This window comes from Homo sapiens, chromosome 2 (assembly GCF_000001405.40).
Source record: "Homo sapiens chromosome 2, GRCh38.p14 Primary Assembly".
Lineage (NCBI taxonomy): Eukaryota > Metazoa > Chordata > Mammalia > Primates > Hominidae > Homo > Homo sapiens.
The window spans coordinates 48,759,876-48,778,333 of record NC_000002.12 but is presented as its reverse complement, the minus strand read 5'-3'; the positions used below and the strand labels follow the sequence as shown (position 1 = coordinate 48,778,333).

The 18,458-nt window shown below is 41.0% G+C and overlaps 1 protein-coding gene and 1 long non-coding RNA gene across 2 annotated transcripts in view; both read right to left on the bottom strand.

Annotated features, from left to right (window-relative positions):
- The window catches only part of LOC105374594 (uncharacterized), a 33,971-nt gene extending 33,002 nt beyond the window's left edge, over positions 1-969 (bottom strand). The window contains exon 1 of the long non-coding RNA XR_001739460.2: positions 752-969. This is a non-coding gene — a long non-coding RNA (uncharacterized LOC105374594). The remainder of the gene's footprint in view (positions 1-751) is intronic.
- Positions 1,815-18,458, bottom strand: part of STON1-GTF2A1L (STON1-GTF2A1L readthrough) — a 246,595-nt gene continuing 229,951 nt past the window's right edge. The window contains exon 11 of the mRNA NM_001198593.2: positions 1,815-2,054. Coding sequence (NP_001185522.1) covers positions 2,019-2,054 — 36 coding nt within the window. The 3' untranslated portion in view covers positions 1,815-2,018. The remainder of the gene's footprint in view (positions 2,055-18,458) is intronic.

Genomic DNA, 18,458 nt, shown 5'->3' with positions numbered 1-18,458 from the left:
AGGAGGAGTGCATGGAGGGATGAAAGGGGAACAGAGCAAGAAGACATGCAGAACTCCCTTTTTACAACTGATATTTTCCTTAAAAGCTGAAAACACAATCACATTCTGCAAACCAAATTCCATTTTCAAATGAAAGTTCAACTGCCCTATAAATGGATATTACTGTGAATTTTTATAAAGGGGGCAATCCTATCATTGTAAAGCAAATGACCACTCCTTAATGTATTAATGTAGGATATTTAGATGTTTGTGTTTGGTTTTGATTAAAGCTCTGCCCATATTCTTGTAGCCATTTTACCATAAAACTAAGACAGTAAAACCAAGCTCCAAAAAGACCTCATGTCTTGTCCAAGAACGCCCTAAGACTAACTCCACACTATCATGACTCAAATCCCTTCCCTAGTCACCCAGTTTCACAGCCTAGATCTCTAAGGAACTAAGGGACTTGATCTGATCTCTTCAGTTTGCCCACATCAGATCCGAGAGCTCCAAGTTGGGCATACCTCGAGATTTTTTTTTAAGCAAGGCTTTCAAACAACCTTGTGCTGGAAACTGGCATGGAAGCAGAGGCTCATGTCCCTGACATACAAAGTCACTCTGAATTCCCCTAATTCCACAGCAATTCTCTGCCTACTGGGTCTTATTGCTTAACAGGAACATAAGCTCCTCTGACATTGACCTGGACAAGTGCTGCATATTTGGGAAGACGAGGAAAAGGCAAGCACAAAACATCTTTGAGCACGTTACCCACCTGCTTGATTTCTGCAGGCTGTTCCAGTGGCCTGACTCCCCACTCTGGATGGGGAACTCTTGAGACCACAGGCTCACAAAGCATGGGCTCCCTGGGAAGTGGTGAGCTGCAGAAATAAACTGCTCCTTTCCTTAAAACAATCAGCCGGTGACTCAGCCTGTAATCCCAGCACTTTGGGAGGCCGAGGCAGGCGGATCACGAGGTCAGGAGATTGAGACCATCCTGGCTAACACGGTGAAACCCCGTCTCTACTAAAAATACAAAAAAAATTATCCGGGCGTGGTGGCGGGCGCCTGTAGTCCCAACTACTCGGGAGGCTGAGGCAGGAGAATGGCGTGAACCCGGGAGGCGGAGCTTGCAGTGAGCCGAGATCGTGCCACTGCACTCCAGCCTGGGCGACAGAACGAGACTCCATCTCAAAAATAAAAAATAAAAAAATTTAAAAAAATTCAGCCCTGCAAACTCACTCTTAGTAAAACAAAAGACATTAAATTCTTACTGTTTTTCTTTTTTCTCTCAATTCCCTTTAATATGATAGCAGCTGAACTCACTGCTCATTGACCAGGCCATTCATTTACCAATTAGGTACAGGTAGTAGCTCGCTTTTGTCGTTTGTTTGTTTTTCTTTTTTTCTTTCCTTTTTTTTTTTTTTTTTTTTTTTTTGGAGATGGAGTCTCGCTTTGTCCCTCAGGCTGAAGTGCAGTGGCACGATCTTGGCTCACTGCAACCTCCGCCTTCCGAGTTCATGCCATTCTCCTGCCTCAGCCTCCCGAGTAGCTGGGATTATAGGCGCCCGCAGGTGGTAGCTCTTAAGTTGCTATCAGACCCTGATGGATTACCCCTTGTAAGAAATTAACCTCCTCCTACCTATTTGAATATTCTGTCTCCAAGCAGGCTACGTGTTCTCAGAAGACTGAGGCAGGGCCATATGTCTTTGCTTTACCCACAAAAAGTCTTGCTAATAATGTTCGGAGTAGAGATGGCACTCAATAAACTCATTAATCTACGGATGATAATTTTTAAGTGCCTACAACCATTATGAATCTCAGTCTACAAACTGGGATATGCCAAAACAATTCTTCTTCTTTATTTTTATTAAATCAAATTAATTTCCATTTTGAGTTCACATGCTCCTAGACTTGCAGGAATTTCAATGTCAGGCATTTACAGGAGTCTTCTTTCTCCTCAAGGTCTCCCTAGAATCCAGGGGGCTTCCATGGTGCTCAGAAAATTAGGATTAGGGCCTCTATCTTCTTGTCCATCGTAGTCATTGCTGCCCATGACGAACCCTGGTATCTCCCTGCTGATAAAAAAGATATATATACCATTGAGAACACAGGGACCTAAGGTTAGGCCTCCCTAGGTTCACCATTCGCCCCCTCTCAGAAATCTTGCTACGTTAACTAAACACATTAAAGAGGGGACATAGCGTCCTCCCACACCAAAAAAGAACACAGTACTATTACCAAATGAAGAGGATACTGGGTAGGCAAGACAACCAATGCCTATCACAAACAGAAGAGAGCATTCCAGGTAACAAGTTGCCAGGAGAAGAGCAAAACATCCTCAGCAATATTAATTATATTTGATGCTTAAAATGAACTTGGAGCATTTGCAGATACAAATACCAATAACTGACTGAAGAAAAGTGATATAAGCATTAAAATAAAGAAATGACCAACCCCACAGAAGACTGTGTGGGAAGAGAAAAGAATGAGCCATATCCTATATAACGAAGATAAATGGGAAAGAAAACTGTGGAACAGATGATAAAGAGGACTGTTTTCTTAGGAATCAAGATTTTCTCAGTTATCTTGAAAGGAGCAACTTGAGATTTATTCAAGAATTCCACTTCAAAACCATATGTCATTGCTGTATAGAAGTATGTCTAGGCTAACAATGTAGTAAAATCTACATACTTCTCATAATAATGTGTGGGTTTAATTATCGTTAACTATTTTTTATGGTCTTCAAAGTGCCTGGTTAAAGAATTCTTCCTATTATTAAATATGGATACCTTAACTAGATATAATTCCAGGAAAGATTCTTAGCACCAAAGTAGGCAAAAACCAGGTAAGCTGTGCTGATTAGAGATGATGTCTCAAGATTCATTTCTCTGTGTGTGTGTGTATACTGCACATGGATTAAGTCTGAAATGCAGAGTTTTAAAAACAAAATAGCTATGTCAGGGCACCATTTCCCAAACTGGTATCCCACAGATTAGCTCTTTAATATTCTGTTTGAGAGAAAAAAAAGGGAATGAAGTTTTATAAGTTAAGGGGAGTAGAAATTAGAGACAGAAGTCTCCTATTAGAAGACCACTGAGGTAGTTCACTGGCCAGGTATTAAAGACTGTGATAAGGAAAATTGATTGTGGGGGCAGGGGAAGGAACAGCTAAGTGAGGCATCCATCCAAGAAGTAAAATCATCAAAAGAGTGTCTATTAATGACCCAAAAACCCAGGAGTCATAACCCTTTGTTCTTAACCATCAGCTTATCTTTCCTCAAGAATAAGTAGTTCAGCAATGACATAGATAAATCTTAAAATAATTATGCTGAGTGAAAGAAGCCAGAAAAAAAGTGCATAATGTATGATTCAAATTATATAAAATTCTAGACTATGCAAACTAATCTCAAGTGAGAGAAAGCAAATCAGTGGTTGATTGGGGCTGGGAAGCTGAGATGGGTGGCCCAAGGAGGGCAGAATTACAAAAGGGCAGGAGGAATCTTTTGGGAGTGATGGATAGATTCATTTTCTTGATTATGGTGATGGTTTTACATGTAGAGATGTCAAAAATCATCAAACTGTACACTTTAAGTATGTACAGGTCATTGTATACCAATTATACCTTTATATCTGATATAGCTGTTGAAAGAAAGTAAAAAGGAATGGAAAGGAAAAGAAAGGAAAGGAAGAAGAAAGAAGGAAGAGGGAAAGAAGGAAGGAAGGAAGGAGGGAAGGAAGGAAGGAAGGAAGGAAGGAAGGAAGGAAGGAAGGAAGGAAGGAAGGAAGGAAGGGGAAGGGAGAAGAATATGTATTTCATTGAATTTTATCTATAGCAGAACTTCTCAACCACAGCACTACTGACATTTTAGACCAGATAATTCTTTGTTGTGGGAAGCGAGCTGTCCTATGCATCTTAGGATGTTTGGCAGCATCCCTGACTCTACCCACCACATGCCAGTAGCACTACCCACCAGCAGTGATGACCAAAGATGACTCCAGATACTGCCAAATATCCCCTTGTCAGTAGAAAAGGAGAGAGAAATGCCCCCAATTGAGAACAATGTGTCTGCAGGGATTTAGCAGGTTACCAGGAGGTTAAGGAAGAGAGTAACCTGAGTTCATGTAAGCCAGGATATCCATTCAAACCTAAAAATTAATGCTGAGGATGGAACAGAGCTGCAAGCTAGATGCAGAGGGAGGGTGCTGGAGGGCTGTGTGGCTTCTGACAGCATGCCATGCCATTCCTCTTCTACAGCAAAGCCAGTGCTGTAGAAAAGGAGGATGAAACTGCAGCAAAGCAAAACTCAAAGGAAAAGAGAGAAGTATTTAAATAATAACTTGAATTTGTTTATATTTCCCAGAGTACTTTTAGTCACATTATCTTACAGGGTTTTTACAAAGTCCATGTGAGGAGGAGGGGGTAGATATTGCTCTCCTCATTTTTCAGATGTGGAAACTAAAACCTACAAGGAGTATCCATCAGCCTCTGAGTTACTAGGTGTCTGAGCACACTGTTAGACTTCTGAGCCTCACCAGTAAAGGAGGGTCAGATAATCCCTCACCATGTTAGATCTTCCAGATAAAAGTTCTGAAGGGATGTGATTAAGAATTCTTAATCTCGGACGGCAATCCAACAAGAAACAAGCTGTAACACTGCAAGTAAGGAATTTAGGAAGTTTGGCTTAAAGAAGTATTTCTAGGGTGAGTTTTGTCAGAAAAAAGAATGTATGATTGAGGGATATTGAAGAACATCCTCTTCTAGTGCTTAAAAATAGGAGATACTTACTTCATTGGAATGATTTAAAGTCACTGATGGAGGGTAGGAGGGTAAACAGAAGACCATGCCCAGCCCCGTAATTCCTTGCACCAATAAAAGGAAGGGAGATCATTCAGAAGTGAGGGATGGAAGATCATTTGAATTGAGAATCTAGATTCAACTTTGGCATGAGTAAGAAGGGGCTACATTTCAAGTGTACCCAGCCACTCCTTCCTGCACCCTTTGTCCTTCAGAGATATTAACACTCTCCATTTAGAAAGACATAATCATTTACATGTAGTGAGAAGATCATGATGCCTCTCCTCAAACAAAGAAAACATTGCTCCCCAGAAAAAGAATCTCAGGCCTGTGAAGGAGGTAGAGAGATATTTGGCAAAGGGGCCTTCATGAACCACACCAATATTACAGTTGGAAGTTAGTTAGTTATCAGAATGTAGTGACTATCCGTGTATGTGTGTGTGTGTGTGTGTGTGTGTGTGTGTGTGTACAATGCAATGATATTTTGATGGCCATGCTTGCATTTAGGAGTGTCTTTCTTCTAGATGAGCTCAAAGAAAGTTCCATATGGGCTTTTAAATTTTGTAATTATATATTTTAACAACTTTATAGTGAACTATAAACAGAATAAATGAAAAAAGAAAAAAATCCAACCCTCCTTAACACAAAAGCTAAATGAGAATCAAGATACAATGGTCCTCCTTGCCTTAATATTGTAAGATACAAATTTTTTATAATTGCAATAAACATGCCCATATTATTTTAAGGTTCTATTTCACTCAATATCACATAATCTATATTTTTTCACATCCCTACTTCATACACATATTTTAAAAAAGCAATGTGATCTTCAAATTGTTAACATGCTAGATTATTTAACCAACTTGCTACAGTTTGATCATTCACATTGTTTTTCACTGAAAGGAAAAAAGTCTCAATGGAAGTATGATAGTTCCCTTCCATTATTTTGCTCATTCATTCATTCCTTCATGGAACATGATAGAATGAAAAGATGGAAGCATCTTGAATCCTTGGCAGTATCTTATTGCCATTATATCAATGCTAGACTGCCTACCTCCTAGACCTCTACTTATTTAAGCCACAATAGTCAATTTCCTGCTTCATGCAGCTAAGAGATATCCTGATACACCACTGAGGCATCTTTAGGTCTGCATCTCATTTCTCCTACGTTTGAAGGAGAGATGGCCCTCCTGCTTTTTGAACTAGCTCTCCGCATGCATTCGTGACCCCGTTTCCTCTTCTGCCTCCTCTTAGGCCGCGTTCTTACAATCATGTCCTTTCTTGTTTGCATATTCAATCTTTTCCTCCATTCTGGCTCTTTTTTATGTCCACTAATAAAACTGTTAGGAACTTCTTAGCCTAAAAAAAAAGACCCTTTCCTTTGAAATATGTTTCAAAGTACTAAGCACACCCCTAAGTTAATGCTGTCTTCCTTGTTCTCCCTTTACTACCAGACTTCTTGGCAGACTGCTCTATACCTACTTACTCTTTTATATCTACTCAGTCTCTTTCAAGCTGGCTTTCACCCCATAACAGTGGAATCAGCAATAAGTTCACCAATAACCAACCTCCTAATTAGCTAGTCACACAAGCTTTCTCAGCCTCCATCTTCCCCCGACTTTCTGCCTGACACTTCTGATTACCTTCTCTTCTTTTAAACTTTTTCAAAAAGTATAAACATATTACAGAAATGTTGGAGGAAAATTATTTTAAATAAATAATTATTTAAGTAGTTATTAAACATTTAATTTATCTAGTAAATGAATTAATTAATTTAAATATTTATTATTTTAATTTATTTTGAAAACGAACGTTGAAATGTAACCATTTATTTCCCTTCCTTTCCTAAACACCACTAAAATATTTTTCTTTAAAGAATATAGCCTCCCCCAAATAAAAGGAACACACCCAAAAGATAAAGGGAGAAAAAAACAATCTTTGGTTGCCATGAGACTACTCATGCCCCTATCCATGGGAGTGGAATTGACCAAGGATCCCCACTGCTGGGCTCTGAAATCCTGCTACATCCACAGCTGATCTTGACCCAAGCCATGCTTCCCCAGGGCAGCTCCCAGCTAATCATTACTCAATGAGTATGCTAGGGAAATTCAGGCAGGTCCATTCCCAGGGTCCAACAGCCAGCTTTGACTCAAATACTCTTGTCAGCCTTGTTGAACTTTCCTCAGACTGCACTGTGGTCTAGGACATTACCACTCAGCATTCCTTTCTTCTCTCCTTCATTCTCATTTCAGTCTGACACTTTCCAAGTCTTTTCTGGCTCCCCCCACACCACCATTTTCTCGCACAGAGGCAGTTCCCTAACAAAATCCTTGTACATTTAATATCGTCTTGGTATCTGCCTCTTGAAGGACCTGAACTAATGCACAACTGTAGGTGAAAGATCTTAACAAATATTTGGAAGGCACGCAGATGGATGAGCAGTAGTCAACGTAGCAGGATACCCTGAAAGCCCTACAGAAAGAATCTGTAGGATCTGATAAGCATTGAACTGGATTAGCAGAAAGTCTCAGGTCTTGGAGACTCAAGTTATTGCAGTAAGGTAGGGGTATAGTGTGGAGCTAAAAACAGATCTATTAATTGAAAGTCTGTATACAGAGAGGTTAAACCACCAGATCCTTGCCCATCCTCCACCAGCTAAGCTTCACCAAACTTCTGATCTACAGAAACTGTGCAGGCAAGTATTATATTTTTCACTATTAGCTTTTTTTTTTTTTAAGACAGGGTCTCACTCTGTCACCCAGGCTGGAGTGCAGTGGCATGATCATGGTTCACTACAGACTTGATCTCCCCAGCTCAGATGACCCTCCCACCTCAGCCTCCCAAGTAGTTGGGAACACAGGCTTATGCCACCAGGCCAAGCTAATTTTTTAATGTTTTATAGAGATGTGGTGTCCCTGTGTTGCCCAGGCTAGTCTCAAACTCCTGGGCTCAAGCAATCCTCCTGCCTCAGCCTCTCAAAGTGCTGGGATTACAGGTGTGAGCCACCACACCTGACAATATTAGCTTTTAAAAGCCATTTGGCTAGTTTTACCATGAACATTGCTTTAATGTAATTTTTCGTAAGTAAAAACTTAAACACAAGTACTTTTATTACAGGGCTGTTAGAGTGGGCTTCAATAGCTGAGATTATCTGAAACTGGGAGAGCTGGTCCAAGCAATCTGAGAAGCATGTAAAAGAAGTGTGAAAGAACAGATGCTAGTATAAAGTACAGAGTCATAGGCAGCATCCTAAACCAGACAAAGAGAGAAGAGTTGGAAAGAAGAGTTGGAAACCAACTCAATAAGGAAAGGATGGGATTTAGGATATTTACACAGCTATTTTGGCTATCTGAGCACCTTATAACTGCCAAGAATACCAGTTGGTATCCATGGCTTGCTTTATAGGCTACCAGGTAAATGGTACACATACTTAACTGACTTAAAGGTACAAAATTGGGACACAAAATTACTTTCCTTTTTTTCTCAAAAAACATACTTACATTTTTGTATTTACAATATAAGTTTTACTTTGTATTCTAAGTTTTTCAATATACAACTTTTTCTATATCTCTAAATTAGCCAAATTGTCATTTTAAATTATTGCATACTTCATTAAGTGAATCATAATGTCTTTATATCACTGTAATGTTGCTGAGTATTCAGGGTATCTCAAATTTATCATATAGATACTGCTATAATGATCGTTTTCATTCTTATGGCTTATTTACTGTGTTCAGTTATTTTCTTTGGAAAGTTCTCAGTGCTAGAATCACTGGATTGTGGGATATACACATATGCCTGGCTCTAGATGGGAATTACCATATTGCTTTCCAAAAGGCTTAAATCATTTTAAATGCATGAGTGTATGTTTTATAATTATTTCTCTGCCATTTGGTGCTTCCTTTAAGTGACTTTTCTCTTGGCTAATTTAGGAGTAAAGTCATACACAGGGTTTTAATTTTCATGTCTTAATTTCAAGGAGGAATAAACTACTTTGTTTTCGCCTGTCCTTTGTATGGTTTCTTAGGTGGATGGTCGATTTCACTGCATGTTCCACTCTCCTCATATCTCTCTGATGGCCCCTACTCCATCTTCTTCCCTGGCTCCTCCGATTCCTCCTTTTCCCCATTGTGGGCACAGGCATTCCCATGGTGCTGTCCTTAGCCCGTTTTTCTTCACCATGGGTTTCTCTATCAATCTGAAGAAGTGTTTTCCAGAAGGCCTTTGGGGCCCCTCCTCCCTGCATAAAAGTCTCCTCGGACACTTTTTAAATTCACATTTCCTGTCCTGACATCAAGTATACAGAAGCAGAATCTCCCAATGCGCCCTCCCAATCCATCTCTTAAGGAACTTCTCAAAAGTGATTCTTAAACTTTGACAACGACAAATGTAGGATTCCCAAATTTGTCTCTCCCATTTTAGTGTTTCTCTTGCTTTACGTGAGTGTATTTCAGCTGCCTCCTGAATCTCTCCAGGCAGATGTCACCTCAACTCTGCACATCCAAATGGCACTCTTGGTCTTGATCACTCCCATCTCTCTCAGGCATGCTCAGCACTTCTGCAAATCAGCTTCTCCTTTTGCCGAAAGAATTCTCATTTCCTGAAAACAAGAGCAGTATTCTTACAGACTGTCAGCCCCACATGCAAAATTCAGTACCGCCTGCTATTTCTAAACTATTCTTTGAAGGAGATTCCCCTTTTGATAAGGGCCTTATTAGCCCTAGGGTAATGACTGGCCTCTCTGTCTGCATGCCACATCATGCCCAGAAGGCATAATTCAATGTGACAGATATTATCAGCAGCAGGCCTTCGGATAGTGCATCTCTAATAGAGCTGGCATCCAAGCAAGCAGTGTCTCAGCATGCCTGAAAGAAGACCCTATACAGGCTGAGGAAGAGGATGAGAAAAGAGGGCCATTGCATCCACTCAAAGCAAGCCAAGAGTTAAACATGGGTTTCCTTCACTCCCCCTAATCTCTGGGTTCTGAATGCATCTGAGAGAAAGCCGTATGTAGGGTCTACTTCCTGGCACAGCCTTGATGGGGGGAAGCTTCCTATGGGGATTCCTCCCCTCCCTTTAGAGGGCCCACCTCCTATGCTCTACATATCCAGTATCCTCACACCACCCTGAGGTCTTCCAAACTTATTCTAAAAACAAATAATTCAGATGAAGATACAATTGATTCAAAGTGCTCCCACCCTGTGTTGTATTTTCATTTCAAAAAGGAGCCTGGAAAGGGCAATGCCCTCAAGGAATATATTGATAACCCTGGAATTTCTAGACCTTGAATATCTGGATTGAGGTATGGAGGGGAGAAGAATAGGAGTCCGGATGATCTTTCCTGTCCTCACCAGGCCCACACATTAGTCTGCTAAATGGATACTAAGGTGAGCTCTGGCTTCCAGATCAGTGAAGGGGTTCTTTGCCATAAAATCCATGTGCCTGAAAATTTGTGAATAAGTTCATTTTCTCAAAGTGTATTCCCAAGTCAGTATTCTTGAAGTTTCTTAAAGAAACACCAGGTTGGTAGCTGGCAAGATGGCTGAATAGGAAAAACTCTGGTCTGCCATTCGCAACAAGATCAATGCAGAAGGCAGGTGATTCCTGCATTTCCAACTGAGGTACATGGTTCATCTCACTGGGACTGGTTGGACAGTGGGTACAGCCCACAGAGGGCAGGCAGAAGCAGGGTGGGGCGTTGCCTCACCTGGGAAGCACAAGGGGTGAGGAGATTTCCCTTTCCTAGCCAAGGGAAGTCGTGAAAGTCTGTACAGGGAGGAACGGTGCATTCTGGCCCAGATTCTGTGCTTTTCCCATGGTCTTCGCAACTGGCAGACCAGGAGATTCTCTCCAGTGTCCGGCTCGGTGGGTCCCACCCCTACGGAGCCCAACAAGCTAAGATCCACTGGCTTGAAATTCTCGCTGCTAGCATAGCAGTCTGAGGTTGACCTGGGATGCTCAAACTTGGTGGGGGGAGGGGCAACCACCATTGCTGAGGCTTGAGTAGGTGGTTTTACCATCACAGTGTAAACAAAGCCACAGGGAAGTTCAAACCGGGCGGAGCCCACTGCAGCTCCCTGGGACAGAGCAACTGGGGGAGGGGTGGCTGTGCGTGCAGCCTCAGCAGTCTTAAATGTCCCTGCCTGACAGATCTAAAGAGAGCAGAGTTCTCCCAGCACAGCATTCGAGTTCTGATAAAGGACAGACTGCCTCCTCAAGTGGGTCCCTGATCCCCTGACTCCCAGTGTATCCAGACTGGGAGACACCTCCCAGTAGGGGCCGACAGATACCTCCTATAGGAGAGCTCTGGCTGGCATCTGGCGGGTGCCCCTCTGGGACGAAGCTTCCAGAGGTAGGAACAGGCAGCAATCTTTGTTGGGCAGCAGCCTCCACTGGTCATACTCAGGCAAACAGGGTCTGGAGTGGACCTCCAGCAAACTCCAGCAGACCTGCAGCAGAGGGGCCTGACTGTTAGAAGGAAAGCTAACAAACAGAAAGGAACAGGATCAATATCACCAACAAAGACCAAAGATAGATAAATCCATGAAGATGGGGAGAAACCAGCACAAAAAAGCTGAAAGTTCCAAAAACCAGAATGCCTCTTCTACTCCAAAGGACCACAACTCCTCACCAGCAAGGGAACAAAACTGGACGGAGAATGAGTTTGATGAATTGACAGAAGTAGGCTTCAGAAGGTGGGTAATAACAAACTCCTCCAAGCTAAAGGAGCATGTTCTAACCCAAAGCAAGGAAGCTAAGAACCTGGAAAAAAGGTTAGACAAATTGCTAACTAGAATAACCAGCTTAGAGAAGAAAATAAATGAACTGATAGAGTTGAAAAACAGCACAAGAACTTTGTGAAACACACACAAGTATCAACAGCTGAGTTGATCAAGCGGAAGAAAGGATATCACAGATTGAAGATCAACTCAAGGAAATAAAGCGAGAAGACAATATTAGAGAAAAAGACTGAAAAGAAATGAACAAAGTCTCCAAGAAATATGGGACTATGTGAAAAGACCAAATCTAGTTTTGATTGGTGTACATGAAACGGACGGGGAGAATGGAACCAAGTTGGAAATCGCTCTTCAGGATATTATCCGGAAGAACTTCCCTAACCTAGCAAGGCAGGCCAACATTCAAATTCAGGAAATACAGAGAACACCACAAAGATGTTCCTCGAAAACAGCAACCCCAAGACACATAATTGTCAGATTCACCAAGGTTGAAACGAAGGAAGAAATGTTAAGGGCAGCCAGAGAGAAAGGTCAGGTTACCCACAAAGAGAAGCCCATCAGACTGACAGTGGATCTCTCAGCAGAAACCATACAAGCCAGAAGACAGTGGGGGCCAATATTCAACATTCTTAAAGAAAATAAGTTTTTGTTTTGTTTTGTTCGAGACAGAGTCTCGCTCTGTAGCCCAGACTGGAGTGCAGTGGTGTGATCTTTGCTCACTGCAACCTCTGCCTCCCAGGTCCAAGCAATTCTCCTGCCTCAGCCTCCCTAGTACCTGGGACTACAGGTGTGTGCCACAATGCCCGGCTAATTTTGTGTGTGTCTGTGTGTATTTTTAGTAGAGACATGGTTTCACCATGTTGCCTGGGATGGTCTCGATCTCCTGACCTTGTGATCTGCCTGTCTTGGCCTCCCAAAGTGCTGGGATTATAGGCATGAGCCACTGTGCCCAGCCAGAAATGATTTTTCAACCCAGCATTTCATGTCCAGCCAAACTATGCTTCATAAGTGGAGAAATAAAATCCTTTACAGACAAGCAAATGCTGAGAGATTTTGTCACCACCAGGCCTGCCTTACAAGAGCTCCTGAAGGAAGCACTAAACATGGAAAGGAAAAACCAGTACCAGCCACTGCAAAAACATACCAAATTTTAAAGACCATCGATGCTATGAAGAAACTGCATCAACTAGCTAGCTGGGCATAATAACCAGCTAGCATCATAATACCAGAATCAAATTCACACGTAACAATATTAACCTTAAATGTAAATGGGCTAAATGCCCCAATTAAAAGACACAGACTGGCAAACTGGATAAAGAATCAAGACCCATTGGTGTGCTGTATTCATGAGACTCATCTCACGTGCAAAGAGACACATAGGCTCAAAATAAAGGGATGGAGGAAGATTTACCAAGCAAGTGGAAAGCAAAAAAAAAAGCAGGGGTTGCAATCCTAGTCTCTGATAAAACAGACTTTAAACTAACAAAGATCAAAAGAGACAAAGAAGGGCATCACATAATGGTAAAGGGATCAATGCAACAAGAACAGCTAACTATCCTAAACATATATGCACCCAATACAGGAGCACCCAGATTCATAAAGCAAGTTCTTAGAGACCTACAAAGAGACTTAGACTCCCACACAGTAACAGTGGGAGACTTTAACACCTCACTGTCAATATTAGACACAACAACGAGACAGAAAATGACCAAGGATATCCAGGACTTGAACTCAGCTATGGACCAAGCAGACCTAATAGACATCTACAGAACTCTCCACCCCAAATCAACAGAATATACATTCTTCTCAGCACCACATCACATTTATTCTAAAATTGACCACATAATTGGAAGTAAAACACTCCTCAGCAAATGTAAAAGAACAGAAATCACAACAAACTGTCTCTCAGACCACAGTGTAATCAAATTAGAACTCAGGATTAAGAAACTCACTCAAAACCACACAACTGCATGGAAACTGAACAGCCTGCTCCTGAATGACTACTGGGCAAATAACAAAATGAAGGCAGAAATAAAGATGTTCTTTGAAACCAATGAGAACAAAGATACAATGTACCAGAATCTCTGGGACACATTTAAAGCAGTGTGTAGAGGGAAATTTATAGCACTAAATGCCCACAAGAGAAAGCAGAAAGGATCTAAAATCGACACCCTACCATCACAATGGAAAGAACTAGAGAAGCAAGAGCAAACAAATTCAAAAGCTAGCAGAAGACAAGAAAAAAAATTAAGATCACAGCAGAACTGAAGGAGATAGAGACACAAAAACACTTCAAAAAATCAATGAATCCAGCAGCTTGTTTTTTGAAAAGATCAACAAAATAGATACACCACTAGCAAGACTAATAAAGAAGAAAAGAGAGAAGAATCAAATAGATGTAATAAAAAATGATAAAAGGGATGTCACCACCGATCCCACAGAAATACAAACTACCATCAGAGAATACTATAAACACCTCTATGCAAATAAACTAGAAAATCTAGAAAAAATGGATAAATTCCTGGACACATACACCCTCCCAAGACTAGACCAGGAAGAAGCCAAATCCCTGAAGAGACCAATAACAAGTTCTGAAATTGAGGCAGTAATTAATAGCCTATCAACCAAAAAAACCTCAGGACCAGACGGATTCACAGCCAAATTTTAAGACGAGATGGTACTATTCCTTCTGAAACTATTCCAAACAAAAGAAAAAGAGGGAATCCTCCCTAACTCATTTTATGGGGCTAGCATCATCCTGACACCAAAATCTGGCAGAGACACAACAAAAAAATAAAATTTTAGGCCAATATCCCTGAAGAACATCAATGCAAAAATCCTCAATAAAATACTGGTAAGCCAAATCCAGCGGCACATCAAAAAGCTTGTGCATCATGATCAAGTCACCTTCATCCCTGGGATGTAAGCCTGGTTCAACATATACAAATCAATAAATGTAATCCATCACATAAACAGAACCAATGACAAAAACCACATGATTATCTCAATAGATGCAGAAAAGGCCTTCAACAAAATTGCCTTTCATGCTAAAAACTCTCAATAAGTAGGTATTTATGGAATGTATCTCAAAATAATAAGAGCTATTTATGACAAACCCACAGCCAATATCATACTGAATGGGCAAAAACTGGAAGCATTCCCTTTGAAAACCGGCACAAGAAAAGGATGCCCTCTCTCACCACTCCTATTCAACACAGTATTGGAAATTCAGGCCAGGGCAATCAGGCAAGAGAAAGAAATAAAGAGTATTCAATTAGGAAAAGAGGAAGTCAAATTGTCTCTGTTTGCAGATGACATCATTGCATATTTAGAAAACCCCATCATCTCAGCCCAAAATCCCTTTAAGCTAATAAGCAACTTCAGCAAAGTCTCAGGATACAAAATCACTGTGCAAAAATCACAAGCATTCCTATACACCAATAACAACCAAAGAGCCAAATCATGAGTGAACTCCCACTCACAATTTCTTCAAAGAGAATTAAATACCTAGGAATCCAACTTACAAGGGATGTGAAGGACCTCTTCAAGGAGAACTACAAACCACTGCTCAAGGAAATAAAAGAGGACACAAACAAATGGAAAAACATTCCATGCTTATGGATAGGAAGAATCAATATCGTGAAAATGGCCATACTGCCCAAAATAATTTGTACATTCAATGTTATTTCTATCAAACTACCATTGACTTTCTTCACAGAATTGGAAAAACTACTTTATATTTTATATGGAACCAAAAAAGAGCCTGCATAGCCAAGACAATCCTAAGTAAAAAGAGCAAAGCTGGAGGCATCATGCTACCTGACTTCAAACTATATTACAAGGCTACAGTAACCAAAACAGCATGGTACTGGTACCAAAACAGAGATATAGACCAATGGAACAGAACAGAGGCCTCAGAAATAACACCACACATCTACAACCATCTGATCTTTGACAAACCTGAGGAAAACAAGCAATGGGGAAAGGATTCCCTATTTAATAAACGGTGCTGGGAAAACTGGCTAGCCCTATCTGGAAAGCTGAAACTGGATCCCTTCCTTACAAAACTGGATCCCTTCCTTATACAAAAATTAACTCAAGATGGATTAAAGGCTTAAAGGTAAGACCTAAAAACATAAAAACCCTAGAAGAAAACCTAGGCAATACCATCCAGGACATAGGCATGGGCAAAGACTTCATGACTAAAACACTAAAAGCAACGGCAACAAAAGCCAAAATTGACAAATGGAATCTAATTAAACTAAAGAGCTTTTGCACAGCAAAAGAAACTATCATCACAGTGAACAGGCAACCTACAGAATGGGAGAAAATTTTTGCAATCTAACCATCTGAAAAAGGGCTAATATCCAGAATCTACAAAGAACGTAAACAAATTTACAAGAAAAAAACAACCCCATCAAAAAGTGGGCAAAAGATATGAACAGACACTTCTCAAAAGAAGACATGTATGCAGCCAACAAACATGAAAAAATGCTGGTCATCAGAGAAATGCAAATCAAAACCACAATGAGATACTATCTTATGCCAGTTAGAATGGCAATCATTAAAAAGTCAAGAAACAACAGATGCTGGAGAAGTTGTGGAGAAATAGGAACACTTTTACTTTGTTGGTGGGAGTGTAAATTAGTTCACCCATTGTGGAGGACTGTGGAGATTCCTCAAAGTTCTAGAACTAGAAATATCATTTGACCCAGCAATACCATTACTGGGTATATACCCAAAGGATTATAAATCATGCTACTATAAAGACACATGCACACATATGTTTATTGTGGCACTGTTCACAATAGCAAAGACTCAGAACCAACCCAAATGCCCATCAATGATAGACTGGATAAAGAAAATGTGACACATATACACCATGGAATACTAGGCAGCCATAAAAAAGGATGAGTTCATGTCCTTTGCAGGGACATCAACGAAGCTGGAAACCATCATTCTCAGCAAACTATCACAAGAACAGAAAACCAAACACTGCATGTTCTCACTCATTAGTGGGAGTTGAACAATGAGAACACATGGACATAGGGAGGGGAACATCACACACCCAGACCTTTTGTGGGGGTGGAGGGCATGGGGAGAGATAGTATTAGGAGAAATACCTAATGTAGATGATGGGTTGATGGGTGCAGCAAACCACCATGGCACGTGTATACCTGCGTAACAAACCTGCACGTTCTGCACATGTACCCCAGAACTTAAAGTATAAAAAAAAAAAAGAAAGAGAAAAGAAACACCAGTCTCCTGCATATACTGTGGCCCTCTTGGAGATCCAGAATGCATGTTAAAAGTTCTCAGAGGCCAGTCACAGTGGCTCACACCTGCAATACCAACACTTTCAGAGGTCAAGGCAAGAGGGTCGCTTGAGATCAGGAGTTCAAGACCCACAAGGGCAACAAGCAAAACCCTCATCTCTACAAAAAAATAAAAAAACTAAGAAAGTTAGTCAGGTGTGGTCCCAGCTACTAAGGAGGCTGAGGCTTCAATGAGGTATGATCATGCCACTGCACTCTAGCCTGGGTGACAGAGTGAGACCCCAACTCTAAAGTAAAAATGAAAATAAAAAATGTTCTGGAAAACTCTTTAGTAAAGAACCTTGTTTAACTTTTTTAACCCAATTTTCCTCAAATTTCTTGAGTTTTGGTCCCTTTCCCCTAAATACTGCTAATTAGCCTGGCAGAAAAACAGTATCCTGTGGTACAAGGATTCCCTAACCCCCAGGGCCTGGCCTGTTAGGAATCAGGCTGCACAGCAGGAGGTGAGCAATGGCCAAACAAGCATTACTGCCTGAGCTCTACCTCCTGTCAGATCAGCGGCGGCATTAGATTCTCATAGGAGCATGAACCCATCATGAACTGCACATGCAAGGGATCTAAGTTGCATGCTCCTTATGAGAACATAATGCCTGATGATCTGAGATGAAAGAATTTCAACATGAAACCAGCCACCCACACCATCCGTGGAAAAACTGTCTTCCACAAAACCAGTCCCTGGTGCCAAAAAGGTTGGGGAAAGCTGCTGTAGCACACACTTTAATTAATTCGACACTGATTTTAAACAATCAAATCTTGTTTCTTTGTTGATTTATATCATCATTTCAGAAAACTTTCTCACTTTCCTTGTGTTGCCTCTGTCTAATATTTTAGCTTGAAGTTTAATTGCTAAACCAAGTTTTCAGTAAGAGGCCTTCCCTAAAAGAAAAATGATGTTAGGTAAATTATGTAACAAAATGCAGTTTCTCTACAAAGAGGAATAACGTGATTCTACTACACTACTTCTTTGTGCACTCATTCATTTGTTCATTCACTCATTTGACTTGTTTATTCCTAGAAGTACGATGATAAAGGCTGTCAATGCAAAGGAGAAAAATTCACTATGACTATAATGAGTCCTGTGACAGAGATAAGAATAGAAAAGCCCTATTTCTCTCCTAACTGGGAAGGGATGAGGGAAGTTGGCAGGTTAAATAAAGTTCACAGCAAGGCTGATAGTAGAGATGAAGAATTTTGGTTGCAAGTGAGAGAGACTCAACTCCAACTAGACTAAGCAGGAGGGGAGTGTGTTAGCTCATTACTTAGGAAGTCCAAGGGTAGAGCTGGCCTCAGGCATGACCAGTTCCATGAAGTCAAAGGACATTAACAAGACTGCTTGCCCCCATCTATTTCTCATCTCTACTTTCCTCTAGTTGTTGCCAGCACAAACAGGCTTTTTCCATGAGACAAGAAGGACAGCAGCCCCTAATTCATTCACATCCTTCCAGCAACATGACCAAAAAGGCAAGGCCCCTTCTCCAACTCTCTCTCTCCATCAGCCTTAGAGTAGGATTCTCATGCCCCAGACCAATCATCACATTCCAATTACCAGCCCAGCTTCCTATCATCCTGCAGCTTCAAACTCCTGCTGAGGCCCACAAGAACCCCAGGGCTG